The sequence below is a fragment of the Homo sapiens genome, chromosome 1 (genome assembly GCF_000001405.40).
Source record: "Homo sapiens chromosome 1, GRCh38.p14 Primary Assembly".
Classification (NCBI taxonomy): domain Eukaryota; kingdom Metazoa; phylum Chordata; class Mammalia; order Primates; family Hominidae; genus Homo; species Homo sapiens.
The window spans coordinates 99,593,757-99,612,892 of record NC_000001.11 but is presented as its reverse complement, the minus strand read 5'-3'; the positions used below and the strand labels follow the sequence as shown (position 1 = coordinate 99,612,892).

Genomic DNA, 19,136 nt, shown 5'->3' with positions numbered 1-19,136 from the left:
TGGCATTTCACCATCTTGGCCAGGCTGGTCTTGAACTCCTGATCTCATGATCCAACCGCTTTGGCCTCTCAAAGTGCTGGGATTACAGGCATGAGCCACTGCACCCAGCCCATTGTCTATTTTTTAATTAAAAAAACCTGACCATCAATGGATGAATGAATTTTAAAAAGGTGCTCTATATGCCCAATGGAATACTTGAGTCTTAAAAGAGAAGGAAATCCTGTCATTTGCAACATGTCGTCCACAACATGGATGAACCTGGAGGACATTGTGCTGAGTGAAATAAGGTAGGCACAGAAGGACAAATGCCATATGATCTCACTTATATGTGGAATCTGAAAAAGTCAAACTCCTGGAAGCAGAGAGTTGAATGGTGGTTATCAGAGGCTGGGGTTATGGGAAATGTTGGTCACAGGGCATGAACTTTTAATTTTTTGACAGGAGGAATAAATGTTTTGAGATATACTCCACAGCATGATGACTATAGTTAATAATAATGTACCTTTCAGAATTGCTAAGAGTAAATTTCAAATGTTCTCATCACAAAAAGTGATAAGTATTTGAGGTGATGGATAGTAAATTAGATTTATTTAATAATTCTGCATATTATACATATATCACAACATTACTTTGTACCCCATAAATATATACAATAAAAAAACTTGAGCTTCAGTGTTTAAATAATTTCTCCATGATAAAAAACCTGGGAAGTGGTAAAAATGAGATTCGTACCATAGCTATCTAATGCCAAATTTCGTCCATCATACCTTGTTCCCTCTGATTTCAGGTCCTGGAACAGAAAATATGGAGTTCATTGAGAAATAGGGGTGGGATTACTAGATGTACCCCTAAATAATAAGGCTTGTTTATCTGGGCCATTAGAGAGGGTCTACTGAGTATAAAAACTGCCAAAAAGATTTTTCGAATATAGTATCCCTTCCCATTTATCCCCCACCCCTCCCTCATTTCTGACAAAGAAGGAAAAAGGAATTTGTAGAACTGTAGTATTTGCAGAACAAAGTTGGCTAATTCAGGAGGCTATGATCCTGTTATTAGGAAAAGTATGCACTGTTCTACAGAAATCCCTTGAAGTGCTTTGGTTAGTGATTGAAATACGGTCTTGACGTGACTGGCTAGCTACATAACTTGTGAGGCCCACTGAAAAATGAAAATGTTTCCAGTTTTTAGTGATTATTGCTGCAATTTATTTTTTGAATAAAGAGCAGCTTTGTTCAAAATCACTAAAAACTGGAAGCAATGGAGATGTCTTTCAGCAGGGGAAGGATAAACAATCTGTGGTATGTATACTCAGTGGTACGCTACTCAGCAGTGAATTTAAATTTGTTAAAGAATTATTAATTTCAAGACAGAGACAGCAGAGCATTAAACCAAGTGAGGGCCTTATGCAGCTGTACACAGATTGCATACCTTGAAGTTGGTCCTGAATCCTGAATGCAGAGAAGGAATTACCTCTCCCAATTTTTTAAACTGATCTACATTGAAGATAGCTTGCTATAAAGATTGATAGTTTATACCCATTAATAGGGTTGTAAAGAGTAAAAGTTCAAATTAAATTAAAAAAATTAGTCTGCATGATATTTTCAGGCACAGAAAAGCTCTAGAATTTTTGAGAGAAGAATCAAAGAGTGGAAGATATTTATTGGAATAAATGAAAGAGAATTTGAGTTCGTAATTAGCTCAGCTGTTCAGAAACTGCATATAGCATCATAGACAGAGGAGGTAATCAGAACATAAAAAATGCATTTTATTTACTTATTGATAACCTACTTTTATATCTTCTTTTTTTGGGGAGAGAATAAAAGAAAAGTTGCACATAAATTACACATTGAGTTGTAAATGAAAATATTGAAAATGCCTACTAATTATCTTCTGACTTTCTGGAGCTGCAGAGAAAGTAAAGAAATAAGAGAAACAAGCTTCTTTTTGAAGAGCTGACAACTTAGCTTACATTTTAGCAAACATATTTAGAAAATTTCTTAAGAAAGTGTATGACTGAACTTAATGAAGAAGTTTGAGGATAATATAAAGACAACTTTCAAATAATTTTGGAGTAATTCTACATGAATCAGAGGGTCAATGGAAAAGGTACCATTTAAGACACATGATATACAAAAGATGAGTTTCACTAATGAGTCTGAGAGACCATCATGTAATTTTTCTGAAAATTAATAGTTTGGTACTGTTATATTTGAGAGGCATGATGCTTTAAAGTAATGCAAACAAGCTGTTCTTTAACATTTGCAGAATTTTATTGTGCTTTGTAGAGAATTACCATCTTCTTTGTCTGATATTAGTTTACTCATATGAACTAGCTACATTGGCTACACATCCTCAAAACAGAGACTAATTTAACCTGGTAATTTTTGTTTGTGAGTAACACAGCACTATTCACAGATAAATAATTGGCCTGAGATCTTCAGTTACCCACAATTGTTGACATTTTTAGAGGAGCTTTTAACTAGAATAGTTTTAAAAATTATGTTGATAAACTATTAATGCTTAATGCTATATTGAATTTTATGGTTGAACTGATTTAAGACTGCTTTTCAACCTGCAGTCTATGCTGTAATATTTTTTAAAAGCCTCTGGAAAGCCATTTGCCAGTTTCTCATAAAGTTAAACATACACTTACCATATGACCCAGAAGTCATACTCCTAGGTATTTCTCAAGTGAGTTGAAAATTTATATTCATTCAAAAACTTGCACATAAATGTTTGGAGCAGCTTTATCCATAATTACTAAAAACTGGAAACAGTGAAGATGTCTTTCAGCAGGGGAATGGATAGACAAACTGTGGTGTATACATTCCATGGTACACTACTCTGCAATAAAAAAGAATGAGCAATTGATTCCTACAACAACATGATGAATCTTAAATGCATTTTACTAAGGGGAAGAAGCCAGATCCTAAAGGATACATATCGTATTATTTCATTCATATGACATTCTGGAAAGGCAAAAGTATAGACAGAAAATAGGTCAGTGGTTGCCAAGGATTGGTGGATTGGAGGAGTGGTTGACTACAAAGGGGACATGCAGGAACAGTTTAGGGTGGTGGAACTATTCTGCATGGTACTGGGTTGATGGGTGCATAACTGCATTTTTTAAAGTCCATAGAACTGCACATCACAAGCAGTGAACTTGAATGTATGCAAACTATAAAAAATCAGCTTGGATGTCAGAGATCTTAGGATGGAAGCAAATGAATCTAACAGTTGTACTACAAATATACAACATAACTGCACTAAAGGGTGTGACTGGAAAAGAGCTGACCTAAGTAAGTTGAACAAATAAGTAAATGGGTAGTTGATGATAGGTACCACGATTGGAGTGGGAGGTTACAGGTAAGCAAGAGGGGAAGGCTAGAATGAATTCTGTGGGGCTGGAGTTGGAGACACCAGTATATCTCATGAATGGCTTGGTATATACAAAGATGGAAAATGCTAACCAGAGAAATCAGATAAGAGAAAGAAATAAAAGTCATTCAAATAGGAAGTCAAACTATCTCCCTTCACTGAAAATATGATTCTATATTTAGAAAATCCTAAAGACTTCATTAAAAGTCTATAAGAGCTGATAAATGATCTTAGTCATATTTCAGTATATGAAGTCAAAGTATAGAAATAAGTAGCATTTCTATACACCAATAACAGCCAGGCTGAGAATCAAATCAAGACACAACCCCATTTACAATAGTCACAAAGAAAATGAAATACTTAGGAATACAGCTAACCAAGGAGGCAAAAGATCTTTACAAGGAGAACTACAAAACACTGATGAAAGAAATCAAAGACAACACAAATAAATGGAAAAACATTCTATGCTCATGGATTGAAAGGATCAATATTGTTAAAATGGCCATACTGCCCAAAGCAGTTTACAGATTTAACACTATTCCTATCAAATTACCAATGACATTCTTAACATAATTAGAGAAAACTATTCTAAAATTCATATGGAAATAAAAGAGATCCTGGATAGCCAAGGCAATCCTAAGCAAAAAGAGCAAAACTAGAGCCATCACACTACCCAACCTCAAACTATACTACAAAGCTAGAGTAATGAAAACAGCATAGTACTGGTACAAAAACAGACATATAGATCAATGGAACACCTATGACCATCTGATCTTTGGCAAGGCTGACAAAAACAAGCGGGGGAAAGGACTCCTTAGTCGATAATTGGTGCTGGGATAACTGGCTAGCCATACACAGAAGAATGAAACTAGTCCCTTACCTTTCACCATATACAAAAATTAACTCAAGATAAAGATTTAAATGTCAGACCTCAAATGATAAGAATCCTAGAAGAAAACCTAGGAAATACCCTTCTTGACATCAGTCTTGGCAAAGAATTTTTAGCTAAGTCACCAAAAGCAATTGCAACAAAAGCAAAAATCGACAAGTGGGACCTAACTAAACTAAAGAGCTTTTACACAGCAAAAGAAAGTATCAACAGCATAAACAGACAACCTACAGAATGGGAGAACATATCTGAAAACTATGCATTTGACAGAAGTCTAATATCCAGAATCTATAAGGAACTTAAACCAATCAACAATCAAAAACAAATAACCCTATTAAAAAATGGGCAAAGAACACGAACAGACACTTCTCAAAAGAAGAGATTCATGTCGTCAACAAGCACATGAAAAAAAATACTCATCATCATTAATCATCAGGGAAATGCAAATCAAAATCATGAGATACCATCTCACACTAGTCAGAATGGCTATTATTAAAAAGTCAAAAAACAACAGATACTGGCAAAGCTGCAGAGAAAAGGAAATGCTTTAACTCTGTTGGTGGAAATGTCAATTAGTTCAGCCACTGTGGAAAGCAGTTTGGAGATTTCTTACAAACTTAAAACAGAGCTACAATTTAACCCAGCAATCCCATTACTTGGTCTATACCCAAAAGAAAATAGATCATATACCAAAAAGACACATATACTTGTATGTTCATTGCCTCACCATTCACAATAGCAAAGATAATGGAATCAACTTAGATGCCCATCAGTGGTTGATTGGATAAAGAAAATAAGGTACATATATACCATGGAATACTATACAGCCATAAAAAAGAATGAAATCATGTCCTTTGCATCACTATGGATGCAGCTGGAGGGCATAATCCTAAGTGAACTAATGCAGGAACAGAAAACCAAATACCTTATGTTCTCACTTAAAAGTGGGAGCTAAATGTTGAGCACACATTGACATAAACATGAGAACAAAAGACGCTAAAGACTACTAGAAGGGGAAGAGAGGGAGGGAGCATGGGTTGAAAACTACCTAGTGGGTACTGTGCTCACTACCTGTCTGCAATATACACATGTAACAAACCAACACACATACCCCATATGCAAAATAGAATTTGAATTTCTTAAAAAAAGTAATAAATGACATGAAAAATTGGAAATAAATAAACAATGGAAACTTCATACAAAAAAACCCCAAATACATACACAGAAGGAGCAAACCAAAACCAAATAGGAAATATTTTGATGTGTATATATTATACATATGATAATATACATACATTATCTGGCTCTGCCACAGTGAAAATCTAGAAGCAGTCACACCCAGGAGAGACAAGCACTCCAGTGAACAGATCTTGGTTTATAAATATGATTTTCCAATTTAATGAACCAGGGGTCCTTGGATAAATGGCTGGTTCTAGAACTGGGAAAAAAAATTCAAGATGGTCCTGGAGCATCTTGTAGTACCAAAAAGTAAGGATGTGCTAAAAGAAATTTAAGAATGGGAGCATATCAATACAATGCAGTAGTCAAACTGAAGGAATGCCCAATGTCCAAAGCTGGACTCATCTGAGCAACAAAATAAGTAGCATAATTTAGAAATGTAATATGAAATAGAAAATAAATTTATGGATAAATCCATACATATATACGAATACATATGTATGAATATGTATGAATACATATGTATGTATGAATATACATGAATATATATGTACATACATATGAATATACATGAATATATATGTACATACATATGAATATACATGAATATATATGTATGAATGTATCCATACATTCATTTTCTATTTCATATATATGAATGTATCTATAAATTTATGTATATCTATTTATATATATATCAGTATAAGAATAGATAAATATGATTGAATAATAAATAGGGGAGAAGAGACAAATCTTCCTGACAGAAAAATTTCAAATAATTTATGTAGATGAAACTTCCTTTCCCCTTTTTGAATGTTGTTAGACTTACAGCTTTGCTTTCAAAGAATAGAGTAGGAATTGGGAAAAATGGTGACTTTACAGTGGAGAAACCCAGCAAACTATCTTAACCGTGTGACCAAGGTTGACATCACCAGTGATGTTATATGCATATCATGTTCCCCTAATATGTGTAATGAGGACACTTCACTTCTGTGGCATTCTTTCCCAAAACACATAATCCCAGTCTAGTGATGAGAAAAGCATTATCATACAAAATCAATTCTAAGGACACTCTACAAAATCCATAATCAATACTCTAAAAACTCTCAAGGTGGTGAAAAATAAGGACGCTCTGAGAAACTGTCACAGACCAGAGGACATTAAAGTGACAGTGACATGATAACTAAACACATGTGGCTCCCTGGATTGGGTACTGGAATAGAAAAAGAATGCTACTGGGAAAATTAATTCAAGTCCAAGAAATGTCTGGAGTTTACCTTGTAGCAATGTACTAATGTTGACTTTTGACAAATGTACCATGGAAAAAGTATGATGGTAACATTAGGAAAAACTAAAACTGGGTAAAGAGTATATAAGAACTCTCTGTTACTATCTTCACAACTTTTCTGTAAACCTAAAAATATTTCAAAAGTAAAAAGTTTATTTTTAAAACAGCCCTGATGTTAGAATCTTCATTAATTACTTAGTGAATTCATTCAACACATAGCAACGGAAAACTTGCTGTCCCTAGTCACTGCTATAATAATGGTTATTAGCAAGTCAGATGCCATCCCTATCTTTCCAGAGCTTACAGTTTACTGGTAGATAAAGATAACAGGGATGTTCAAAATTATTTGATAAGTGCTTTGAGAAAGTGCCAGAGGTTTTAAAAATATTTTTCTCCTACATTTAAATTAACAAATCTGGCATGTTAAATAGATCTTGGAGCATAGTAAACATATTAGTCCTCAAATAATACTTCTCCTGAATATTTTCCATATCAGATAATCCTTAAACTCTGAACAATTTGCCAGGCATTGTTTTAGATTTTTTATTAGAGAAATTTGAGAATATTCTTTAGTTTAGTTCATTATACTTTGCTCAGTGATATGGTTTGGCTCTGTGTCCCCACCCAAATCTCACCTTAAATTGCGATAATCCCCATGTGTCATGGGAGTGACCTGGTGGGAGGTAATTGAATTATGGGGGCGGATTTTTTCTTGTGCTGTTCTCATGATAGTGAACAAGTCTCACCAGACCTGATGGTTCTATATCCCCTGCACATGCCCTCTTGCTTGCCACCACGTAAGATGTGCCTTTGCTTCTCCTTTATCTTCTGCCACAATTGTGAGGCCTCCCCAGCCATGTAGAACTGTGAGTCCATTAAAACTCTTTACTTATAAATTACTCAGTCTTGGGTATGTCTTTATTAGCACTGTGAGAACAGACTAGTACACTCAGCAAGGAATTATTTTCTTACAAAGTACAGAACTGTTTCCCTTTTCATGTAAAAAATGAAAAGTTAAGGCCGGGCGCGGTTGCTCACGCCTGTAATCCCAGCACTTTGGGAGGCTGAGGCGGGCAGATCATGAGGTCAGGAGATCGAGACCATCCTGGCTAACACGGTGAAACCCCGTTTCTACTAAAAATACAAAAAAAATTAGCTGGGCGTAGTGGCGGGCACCTGTAGTCCCAGCTACTCAGGAGGCTGAGGCAGGAGAATGGCGAGAACCCGGGAGGCGGAGCTTGCCGTGAGCCGAGATTTCGCCACTGCACTCCAGCCTGGGCGACTGAGCAAGACTCTGTCTCAAAAAAAAAAAAAGAAAAGTTAAACTAGATAATTCTTAAAATATCTTTCAATTTTAAACGTCATTGAGCTTTGTCAATTATGTCGTATTTTCTTGGCTGTTTATTAGATCAGTAGGAAGGTTTACTTATTGATCACGTAAAAACAAACATCATATTTTTCTTTCATCATCAAGATTCCTATTTCTTCAGTTTATTTCAGGTAGAAAAGTGTATTCCAAAGAAGGAAGATATTCCCATAGTGAAAAAGGAAAATACATATATTCCCTGAGGCAGGCAATACTTTTCAAAAGAATGAGAAGTCTTTTTACCATCATTAAAAGTCTGGGACCCAAAATGCAGACCACTAGAATCACAAATTCTGCACTTGCCAAGCCTAGTCAGTTTTCCTTAGCTCAAAAACCTCAGGAATGGGCATCTTAAAAGGAAATACTTTTTGTGGATTTGCAAAGTCTCACTGCAAAGAAATTCACCTCAGTTTGAAAGATCTTGTGGGATTAAAAGTCAAGATTCATTTGGGAATGCTGGCTGGTAGACATTTCATGTCTCTCTTTTGCTGAGAAGTAATCTCACAAAGAATTTATAGTCTATGACTGCATATAAAGGTGGCTTCTTTGAGGGGCCCACATTTGTATGTACTTTGAGAGGAGAGGATGGGAGCTGAATATAAAACACTGTGGCTGATTTCAACATCTGCTCCTATAGTTACAGAGAACCAGAGGCTGGACTCTAAAACACGAATGGAAGGTCACAAGCCAGAAGTTTCTGAGAATGTGTTGGGGAAGGAGTGGGTTGGGAAAATAGCTGTATTTCCTCTAAAGAAAAAAAGATATCTCTTTGAAGTCTGGGTATTTGGTAAATTTAAAAAAAAAAAGAATAAAAGACAATAGAAAAGGTATCACTAATGGGGTAGAAGGAACAAAACACTAAAATTGAAACCAAAACCAAATCACCCAAACCAAATAAAATTCCTTTCAGTGGAAGCACACTTGTGTAATACCACACTTTTAAAAATGACCTCTCTTCTGGATTATTTCATTAGCCTCCTATTTTACCTTTCTGCCACCAATTTCTCCCACCTTCAGTTTATTCTGCAAACTACTTTCTGAATGGTCTTTCTAAGACATTTTAGTGACAATGTAACCATAGCCTTCATGATCAAAAACTTTCAATGGCTCCTCATTGTCGCATGAAGAAAATCCAGATATTTCAGTTTTGATTTTCAAGTCTTTAGATGATTAGCCAAATCCATCATCCGTAAAATGAAATCAATATATAGAAATTTATAGGTTATCTCAGCAGTGTAGGTCAGTTACGTAACTAAATAATTTTTAAATGGTTAAAAATAGTGGGCTGGGCGTGGTGGCTCATGCCTGTAATCCTACCATTTTGGGAGGCCGAGGCAGGTGGATCATCTAGGTCAGGAGTTCGAGACCAGCCTGGCCAACATGGCTAAACCTCATCTCTACTAAAAGTACCAAAAAAAAAAAAAAAATAGCCAGGCGTGGTGGCACACACCTGTAATCCCAGCTACTTGGGAGGCTGAGGAAGGAAAATTGCTTGAACCCAGGAGGTGGAGGTTGCAGTGAGCAGAGATTGTGCCACTGCACTCCAGCCTATGTGAAGGGAACAAGACTCCATCTCAAAAAAAGAAAAAAAATAGTGTTTTCCTTTATATCTATCTATCTGTCTATCTAATCCATCAATTATCTATTTTATACCAGTACTAATTAGTACCTGGGGTGGATATAAATGTGGGGTATGAATTGTCCCATTTCTAATGTGATACTGATTTACCTATGCAAGTGGTTTTGATTTTAGTTACCTTGACTAAGACACGCTAAGTAAATAAATTGAATATCCAAAAATAAACCATGCTTTTACTATTTCTTAGGCCTTAAATCAATCTTGGCCATATTAACAAGAATGTTTTTGGTGTCTGCTATATATTTTCAGGAGCTTTTGTAAATACTTGGTCTAATTTAATCTCATAATCTTCAAAAGTCTGTTGAGCAAACCCTGAAAACATCCACTTCCAGTCTGGTTAATTAGAAAACAATTAGGTTCTAACAAGGCTTTTGCTTCCTTACTCTGTTTACCAGCACAGTTTCAACATCCTTCCATTGATATGAAATGTGCAGAGACATAATTTTTTTCTTTTTCTTTTTAATCTTGATTCTGGAAGCCCTGGTAGAATAGTTAAGGAAATTCTTAACAGCAAACAGGGGAAGTCTTTTATTTTCTTTGGGTTTTGATGGTACACAAATTAACTTGTTTCCTCTACTGTGATGGGAATTCAGAAAAGGGAACCTATTGGAAATGTGAACATTCCTATTCTTCCTGACTCTTAAATTTCATTAGAAAACTTTACATCACATAACTTTTACTAAGAGGAGACTGGAGGCAGTGTTTACCAAGAACGTTTGTTAATGTGGAGCTAAAAAACAACATAGAATCACTAGCCACTTGGATAATGAACACTGCAAACATCATTGTTTATAGAAATGGTGTAATGCTAGGATAGAATTTAAGTTCTAGCTCAGGTTGCCATTGAAAGAAGAGTACAAATATTTGCCGAGCACCTACTATGTGTCAGGCATTGAGTAAGGCTTTTTTCATATTTTTACATTTTTTAAATTTAAAATTTTTATTTTAAAAAGATAGAGATAGGGTCTTGCATGTTGCTCAGGCTGGTCTCAAATTCCTGGCCTCAAGCAATCCTCCCACCTTGGCCTCCCAAGTGCTGGGATCACAGGCGTGAACCACTGCACCTGGCCTTTTTTTTTTTTTTTCATATTTCTTCTCATTTAATTCTCAGTGCAACCGTGTGGCTGGACATTTTTTCAATCTAAATTATTAGAGATAAGGAAATTGAGAGTTAGGGAACTTTAGTAACATGTCAAAGGTCGCACATGTGTTAATTGCAGGGCTTAGTTTAGAAACCACTTTAGTTTGATGTGAAACTAGAAACATTTCCACTATAGCACACTATCTTCATGCATGTTTTTACACCCATCAGAGTCCAGTTTCCTACTAACCTTGACCTGTTTTGCAAGGATGAATGGGCTAATGAATTACTAATTGTAAAATATGCTTATAATTTTAAAGAACATGTAACTATTGAAAGAAAAATCATGACATTTTATAGTTAACTTCTCAGTTTCTTTTCTTTATATAGTCCCAGGATAATATATGAAACTATCTGTGTTCTCTCTTTCATAGCATAAATTAATGGAGAGCAAAGGCCTTTCTTTGCAAACATTTTCTAACACAGTTAACCCATGCTTCCCTGCTGCTAACTTCTCTCAAACGTTTAGATTCATGGGGACATAAAGGCCAAACTGCTGTCTTATTAAATTCTTCTTTTCATAAGAATATGCAAGATGCAAATGAGCAAAATGTTAAAGCTCTATAAAGAGCATCTCTGGATTTTATAGCCCTGCTTCCGAAGAGTGTGTCTATGGGATATCAAGTGAAGAAATAGGAGCATGCATAATTGCATATGTAATTGGGCTGCAATTTTGCAGTGTATAATACAAAATACATATACATTTATAGATGAAAGACCTGAAATAAATATGCCAAAATGTGAGCCATGACCACCTGTAGGTGAAGATCTATAGGGCAATTGCATTTCGTTTTTCAAATGTTTTTATGCATTTTAAAAATAAAAATATGTTTCTTCTATTACCAGAAGAATGCAATACATTTCATCCATATTTTAAAAAGACACATTGTTTTGAAAGCAGTTCTGGTTTCGTGTGAGGGTGAGAATATCCTCAAATGGAAACAATTTTGTTTGCTAGGGAATTCAGCTTTAAAACAGGAGCAAGGCATTTGTCTCTTTGATGCCATGGCAACCCCTGGGAAAACGCAGAGTCCAACAATGGGATAAAAATGTGCCTCAAGAGTGGGTAAGAAGGAGGCAACCTTGGACTTCTTTTTCCTCCACTTTCCCTTGAACAGAAGGTTGCATTGTGTTTTTCCAGCTGACTTTGCTTTCCAGCTAGGCTGCTGTGAGAGGAAAGAGCAAACAATAAGAAGAACCTTTTTCTCATGGAGTTTTGGGCTCTCCGAAAAATTGTGCACTTTCTCAGCGGAGAAAAAGCTCAGTTTCTTTTCTCTGTCTTCCCCTCTCCTTGACATCTCCCAATTCAGTCATTTTTATTACAAGTTTCTCAATCCCCTTTACATTTTCCCCTCAGGATACGCCACTTGTCTTCTTCGGAGCTGTAGGGCTGGATTGATCTTTTCTCTATGGTCACTGTTTTCTTCTATGGTCTTTTCTCTATGGTCACTCTTTCTTGATAGAAAGACTCCTGCAGTCTTTTTCAGATCTCAATCCTTAATGCATCTCTGTTGGTCTCCAATGATTTGGCTGTCTGAGACTCTTTTTTTTTTTTTAAGATTTTTTTAACCTAATTTTATTCCTTAGGTAAATTGAACTCCCCCAAGCCACTGAAGATTGCTAAGGGTCTTCATTTTGGCAATATAGATCCAAATATTGTGATAACAGAGGTTACCAAAGGACTTTGTCTCCATTATATAGGTAAGTAATGATGATGCCAAGCTTTTTCTGTGGTCTGTGCCATGTTTCCTTCTAACATGACAGCAGCATCAATACAGCAAGAATAGTTTACCTTGGTGCTGGGTTTTACATTAAGATCCTGTGTGTTTGGACTTAAAAACTTTAGTCCACTTAGAAGCTACCAGCAACCTGAGCAAGAGGCCCTGTAGTTTTACGCCTCAAACCAGCGTAAGCACTGCTTTTCAACTAATACAAAGAAAAGGAATTGGGGAGGGAGGTCTTTCGAGTAACCATGGAAGTGACTTTAAAGAATTGCAGGTTGTCATTTTGGCAACCAGAGGTGCAGTCTTCAGAGTGGAGGACTCTGTGTGGCAGAGCCAGGCCTTGACCCAGTGTGACCCCCTGATATCGGGAACCACAAGAGACTTGTGCAGCTGCCTGGCCTCCAACCGGCCTGGGAGGCTGGCCATTCCAGGAAACTAGCAGTGATGGTATCATTCCTAGGAGCATGATTCACCCAAGAAGAATGAAAACTTTAGAGCCATGAAGGCTGACTGTGGAGGATGGAAGGCTCATCTCATTCATCTTTCTTTCCTGAGCACCCATCAGTAAATATTGCCTTAAGTGAGATGTGCAAATTCCAGCTGCTGCTCAGAACTGATGGTTGTATGGCCTGTAGAAAATGTCTTCATTTCTTTAATAATTTTTTGCAGCCTACATAAATTTTCTTTTTTCCCGGATTGGCCCTTGTGCAAAAAAAACATTGCTTCCCACAGTTATAAGCCATTATAAATGATGTGTACTACTTCCTTAATTTCCCATCATTTGGAGTCTAGTGAGGAGACACAGATTAGTAGATAAGGTCAAATTCAACTCAATAAAAGTTGGGGGTCACTTCAGTCCTGAGTCAGGTACCAGCCTGGCCCAGCGGAGCTTAGTATGAAAGTACTTTATGAGGTTGAACATTTGTATGGTATTGTATAGCATGTTTAAAAAGCCTATCACATAGATGATCTCATTTGACTTTCACTGTAAGTAAAACCAAGGTATCAGTACTGGTATCAGTGATGAACAGACTCATATGGGTTCAGGAGCTCTCTCATGATGTCCCTCTGCCAGCTGGACAGGGTCCAGGGGCCTCAGAAAAACCATATTCTTCAGTTTATGTGGGATATTGCACATTTCTAGGACTGTGAGTGTTGATGAGAGGGTAGGGGTGTGTGTACTTGGGAAGGAAACGCATAATTCAGGTGTTCCTGAACAAATTGTGATCTAGATGGAGTCCAGCCTTTTTGAATCTGGCTACAATGCTAGTGAACTGTCCCAGGTTAAAGGAATTTGGATCAACCCCTGGTATCAATTTGGCACCAGGTTTGATATATAGTAGAGGGAGCTGTTTAACAAGCCATGTTCTTCATCCTGTTGATAAGGGAGAAACAGGAGAATATGAAGTCATGTAAGGGAGTGTGAGTTGTCCAAAGCTGAAACAATTTCATTTGCTGAAGTGATCTGAGGATTAGCATGTCTTTCTATAATACACAAATATATTTAGCACAGTGCTTGGCACTTAGTAGGTACTCAATACATGTTAATAAGGTATTATGGTAATAAATAATAGATTATGCATGGTCCTGTTATGGTTTTTTAAAGTTTTTTCCTTAGTCTTGAGTTCTGATTCCTATATTGCTTTTGGATGCCAGGTTATTCTATGTGCTTATTTGGTTCTTGATGTACTAGTTATGCAATAAAATCTGTTGAAGGAATAAATGAAAGAAGGAAGGCTTGCAGTGACACTTTGTATTTACTTCTAAGGCAATGTTGACATTCTCTATTCCAGAAGAACTAAAAATGATTCACATTCATTGGTGTCAAAATTTCCACATATTTATAATTTCCATTATATTAGGTTGGTGCAGGTGTAATTGTGGTTTTTGCCAATATTAAATATAATAGTGTTAATCAATTAATTTAATATTAAAATGTTAAAATAATCAGTATTTTTTTCTTCTCTTCTTTTTTTCCTTCTTGATAGACTTTCTTGTGCAGTCCTTAAAAAGTAGGACAATTCTACTTTTTAAATTGGCACTTTTGAAAGTTATTTCATTGAGTATTTACGTATTAGTAGACTGCTTGGTTCAACTTCTTACAGTTGACGTAAATTTTGGCCCAGAACTCATGTGTGAAAAAAATTAATTTTGTTTATTTTCTGTCTGATGATAAAAATTTTAAGTGATATTTCCACCAGGAGTTGGAAAACTTAATCTCTATCAGTTAGTATTTTACTCCTTCTAATTCTTTTTTTATTTTATTTTATTTTATTATTATTATACTTTAAGTTTTAGGGTACATGTGCACAATGTGCAGGTTAGTTACATATGTATACATGTGCCATGCTGGTGCGCTGCACCCATTAACTCGTCATTTAGCATTAGGTATATCTCCTAATGCTATCCCTCCCCCCTCCCCCCACCCCACAACAGTCCCCAGAGTGTGATGTTCCCCTTCCTGTGTCCATGTGTTCTCATTGTTCAATTCCCACCTATAAGTGAGAACATGCGGTGTTTGGTTTTTTTGGTCTCCTTCTAATTCTTGATTTGAAATCTAAATTTGGGGGATATTTTGGAGGCAAGAGGTCAAGTGCAGTGGAGTGAATTCCTGGTCTGGACATGCGGGCATCTGCCAGGAATCCTTAGGCCTGTCTGCTTCCTGACCATCGGTCCACACAACACAGATTGCTCTGACATCTTCCCATCCTGAATCTGATGCTTTTATGTGGCCAGCTCCCTTCATTACTTGGATGCACCTTCTGGGTACAAAGGCAACATTTAGCTCTTCTTACACTTCTTTGGGACACAGAGAATTCTGCCAGTTCCTTTTGCTTAAGCACTCCACAGAACTATCTCTTCTCCACTATTACTTTACTAAGTTGGTGACAGAAGCATTTTAGCTCTTGATACCTCTGCAGGATATCCCTCCTCCAGAGTGTGAAGATACTCTTTGCTCTTGAATCTACCAAACCAATCTGGGTTTCTGTGAATTCCACCATCACAGGGGACTCAACTCAGGGAGGGAAGAGAACAGTTCTTCTTCTGAAGGACATGCCATTGCCACTGCCTCCTCTCCAGCTCTTCCTTCCCAACTAATCTGGCTATGAAGATTTATCTCATCTGTGGTTTCAGGTGGAGGAAGAGGGTGATGTTCTGGACAGGGATGTCTGGAATTATGCTGAATTCTTCAAAAACTTCTGTGATGCCTTGAGTTCCAAAGAGTCTCAGGTTGCAACTTCAAGGCCAAGATTTTGATTCTCAGAGCTTTACAGTTGTCAAATGCTGACAACTCTTTAAGGTTCACTAGGTTCCATTGGGTCAGCCAATGTTATTTTTTACCAAGCACTTATTATGCGCCAAGTAAAAGGAGAAATAGGACAGAGCTAAACTAAAAGACCCAAAGTCTTTCATAATTGCATAGAGGTGGGTATTCAACTTAATAATTATGTACTGATATGGTTTGGCTGTGTGCCCACCCAAATCTCATCTTCAGTTGTAGCTCCCATAATTCCCATGTGCTGTGGGAGGGACTCAGTGGGAGATAATTGCATCACTGGGATGGTTTCTCCCATACTGTTCTCATGGTAGTGAATAAGTCTCACGAGATCTGATGGTTTTACAAGGGGAAATCCTTTTTGCTTGGCTCTCATTCTCTTTTTGCCAGCTGCCATGTAAGACATCCCTTTGTTCTTCTTTCATCTTCTGCCATGATTGTGAGGCCTCCCCAGCTATGTGGAACTCTGAGTCAATTAAATCTTTTTCCTTTATAAATTACCCAGTCTTGGGTATGTCTTTATATACAGCATGCAAATGGACTAATACACATATTGAGCATTTTCTATTTATCAAGAACATGGCCGGGCATGATGGCTCATGCCTGTAATCCCACCACTTTGGGAGGCCAAGGTGAGCTTGAACTTGAGTTCAAGCATTTGAGACCAGGCGTCCTCATGCCCACCTGGTCCCTGGTCATTAGTCCACACAACACAGATTGCTGTGCCATCTTCCCCTCCTGAATCTGAAGCCTTTTATGAAGCCAGCTTCCTGGTGAAACCCATGCAAAAATTTGATTCTACAAAAAATACAAAAATTAGCTGGGTGTGGACTACATCTGTAGTCCCAGCTACTCGGGAGGCTGAGGTGGGAGGATTGCTTGATCCTGGGAGATCAAGACTGCCGTGAACTGTGACCGCTCTACTGCCCTCCAGCCTGGGCAACAGATAAAGCCTCTGTCTCAAAAAAAAAAAAAAAAAAAAAAAAAAAAAAAAAAAAAAAAAAAAAGAAGGTACTGACAGTGTATCAGTGAACAAGACAAATACTTAGACAAAAATGTGGTTAAAAGCTTGAGCTCTGGAGTCAGATGGCTAGTTTAAAGGGGTCTTTTGTGATCTTAACTGTCTGAGCCTCAGTGGGCACATGTGTAAGGGAAGAATAGTAATAATATCCATTTTATGGATTGTAATGAGGATTTAACTGTGATAATATTAATATATATGAAATATTGAGGGCAGCACATAACACAATATGCATTTAATAAGTGTTGGTTATAATAACAGATATCTTATGTGGGCTGGCTCAACATCTCTTCCAAACTCTACTGTGCCTCCTTGCAAAGCTTGCAGAACTGTGTTGTCCAGACTCCCTTTCAGCTAGGATGCCATATATAATTTAGAGCCCTCCTAACAGATGGATTTGTTTCCTGAAGGCTCATAATTCTGGGTTTGACTATATTAACCTGCATGAGATTTGCATGAAATAGTACCCATATTCTTTTACCCTCAGAACACCGGCACAGTTGCAGCTCGTGCATGTAGTCTCTATCTGCTGGTTCACCTTTTTGGCATGGGGCAGGAAGGCATGGTTTCTATTAATATTTTCATGGAACTATGGCTTAGCAAGAGAGAAAATATTACAAGTGTGATATGTTCTTTTTCCTTTCATTGAAAAGATTTCCTTTGACACTTCTCCCAGTTCCCAGGAGGAAAGTAGTAGTGTTTTTTCCTTGCTACATTGAAAGAAAGCTGGGGCAGAGGGCATCTTGCTAAAAGTCATATGTAAGTTTGGTGTGAAAGTTGATGTCTCACTGCAGGCTAGCTTCAGGATTGTGGGAACTGATTCAGAGTGACACCTCCTTTGACACTAAGTTGGGAGAAGGTGCTGATAAATATTTTCTTGCTAAACATGGAAAATAATCTTTTCTTGTTAGTGAAAGAAAATACTTGGAATTTTTCAAAGGACAAGAAAGAACAAAAAAACCACAAAAAAAAATCCCAAACAAACCTATCAAAGGGCCTGGTGTATATCTAGATAGACGTAGCTGTTATATCATAAAAAGTCAAAAGCATCTTCTGCCTTATATTTGTGGTATATTTTTGCCTTTCCAAATGTAGCTGAACGTTTTTCTTACAGGAGTATTATGCTGAAGACTATAAATTAAAGTACTTAACACTCAGTTATAAACCACCATATTGAATTTAAGTTATTGCCATTTAAAATTTCTAAAAGTTACAATAACATTTTGTATTTTTTTCATCTAGCAGGATTTCAGAATTTTACTTTATTTCATAAATAACGTATGGTCAGGTGTCCCTTCAGATCTTTCAGTGATTAAAGTTATTTTTTCCACTGTTTTGCATTATCCAGTAACATTAACATTAAACGCTGATGAGGATGGAACACAAAGAAAACAAACATATTTTTCTCTCCTAAATCCCAGAACTTCAGAGCTTTAACTTTAGTCTTCAGATTTTCCTAATACATATATGAAATCCCCTGACTACCCAAATCTGGTAGGCGTTAATACCTAACATGTACTTTTCCCCCTGAATCTAAGCCGTCAGTTTTTCAGGATGGAAATAGTGAAGTTGTCAGGAAGTTGATGTCAACAACTCAGGAAATGGTGGGGCTGGATCACAGGATAAGGTGCCCACAGGGGAAAGAACAGTCTTTAGCTGATTTGGGGTTTCTCAGCTTACTGTTTCAGGATGGGAGATTTAGGTTCAACAGGGATTGAGTAGTTATTCTGTACTTGGCCTGTGCTAAACATTGGAACATTATTTATTTAATCTTCACAACAATCCTGGGAGAATAGCATAGGATACATTATGTGAAGGAAATTGAGAGAAGGGAATTGATGTTCAGAGAAGTTAAGAATGTTGTACACTGAGCAACAGTGGAGTCAGATTGTTGTACAAATTTCTCCTTTACACTGCTGCTGCCTTTCAGAGAAGACAGAAACATCATAAGTCCTCTTTCCCCTGACTTTCAGCCTCATAGACTTTTTAAATTAGGTTCAAGGTTTTGTGGATTTGGAGGTGGGAAAAAGGATTTAAAATAGTGCATCTGCATCCAAATCTGAGTTCCTGCAATGAAACAAAACCCAAGACCACAAATGTTGACTAGCAGAATAGGCAAAATAAATCACTTGACCCTTTAATGAGGTGCTGACCACTTTGTCCCTTAAAGTTTGCTATAATTTAAAATAATAATAGCTACACTATTCATAAAAGAATTATACATCCATTTTTAT

The 19,136-nt window shown here is 36.9% G+C and overlaps 2 annotated features.

Moving 5' to 3' along the window:
- Positions 11,806-12,100: a silencer, noted in NCBI's record as "tiled region #10093; HepG2 Repressive DNase matched - State 5:Enh". NCBI's record gives its function as "represses a minimal TATA promoter and a strong SV40 promoter by Sharpr-MPRA in HepG2 cells {active_cell/tissue: HepG2}" and the evidence as "EXISTENCE:reporter gene assay evidence [ECO:0000049][PMID:27701403]".
- Positions 17,466-17,760: a silencer, noted in NCBI's record as "tiled region #14613; HepG2 Repressive non-DNase unmatched - State 23:Low". NCBI's record gives its function as "represses a minimal TATA promoter and a strong SV40 promoter by Sharpr-MPRA in HepG2 cells {active_cell/tissue: HepG2}" and the evidence as "EXISTENCE:reporter gene assay evidence [ECO:0000049][PMID:27701403]".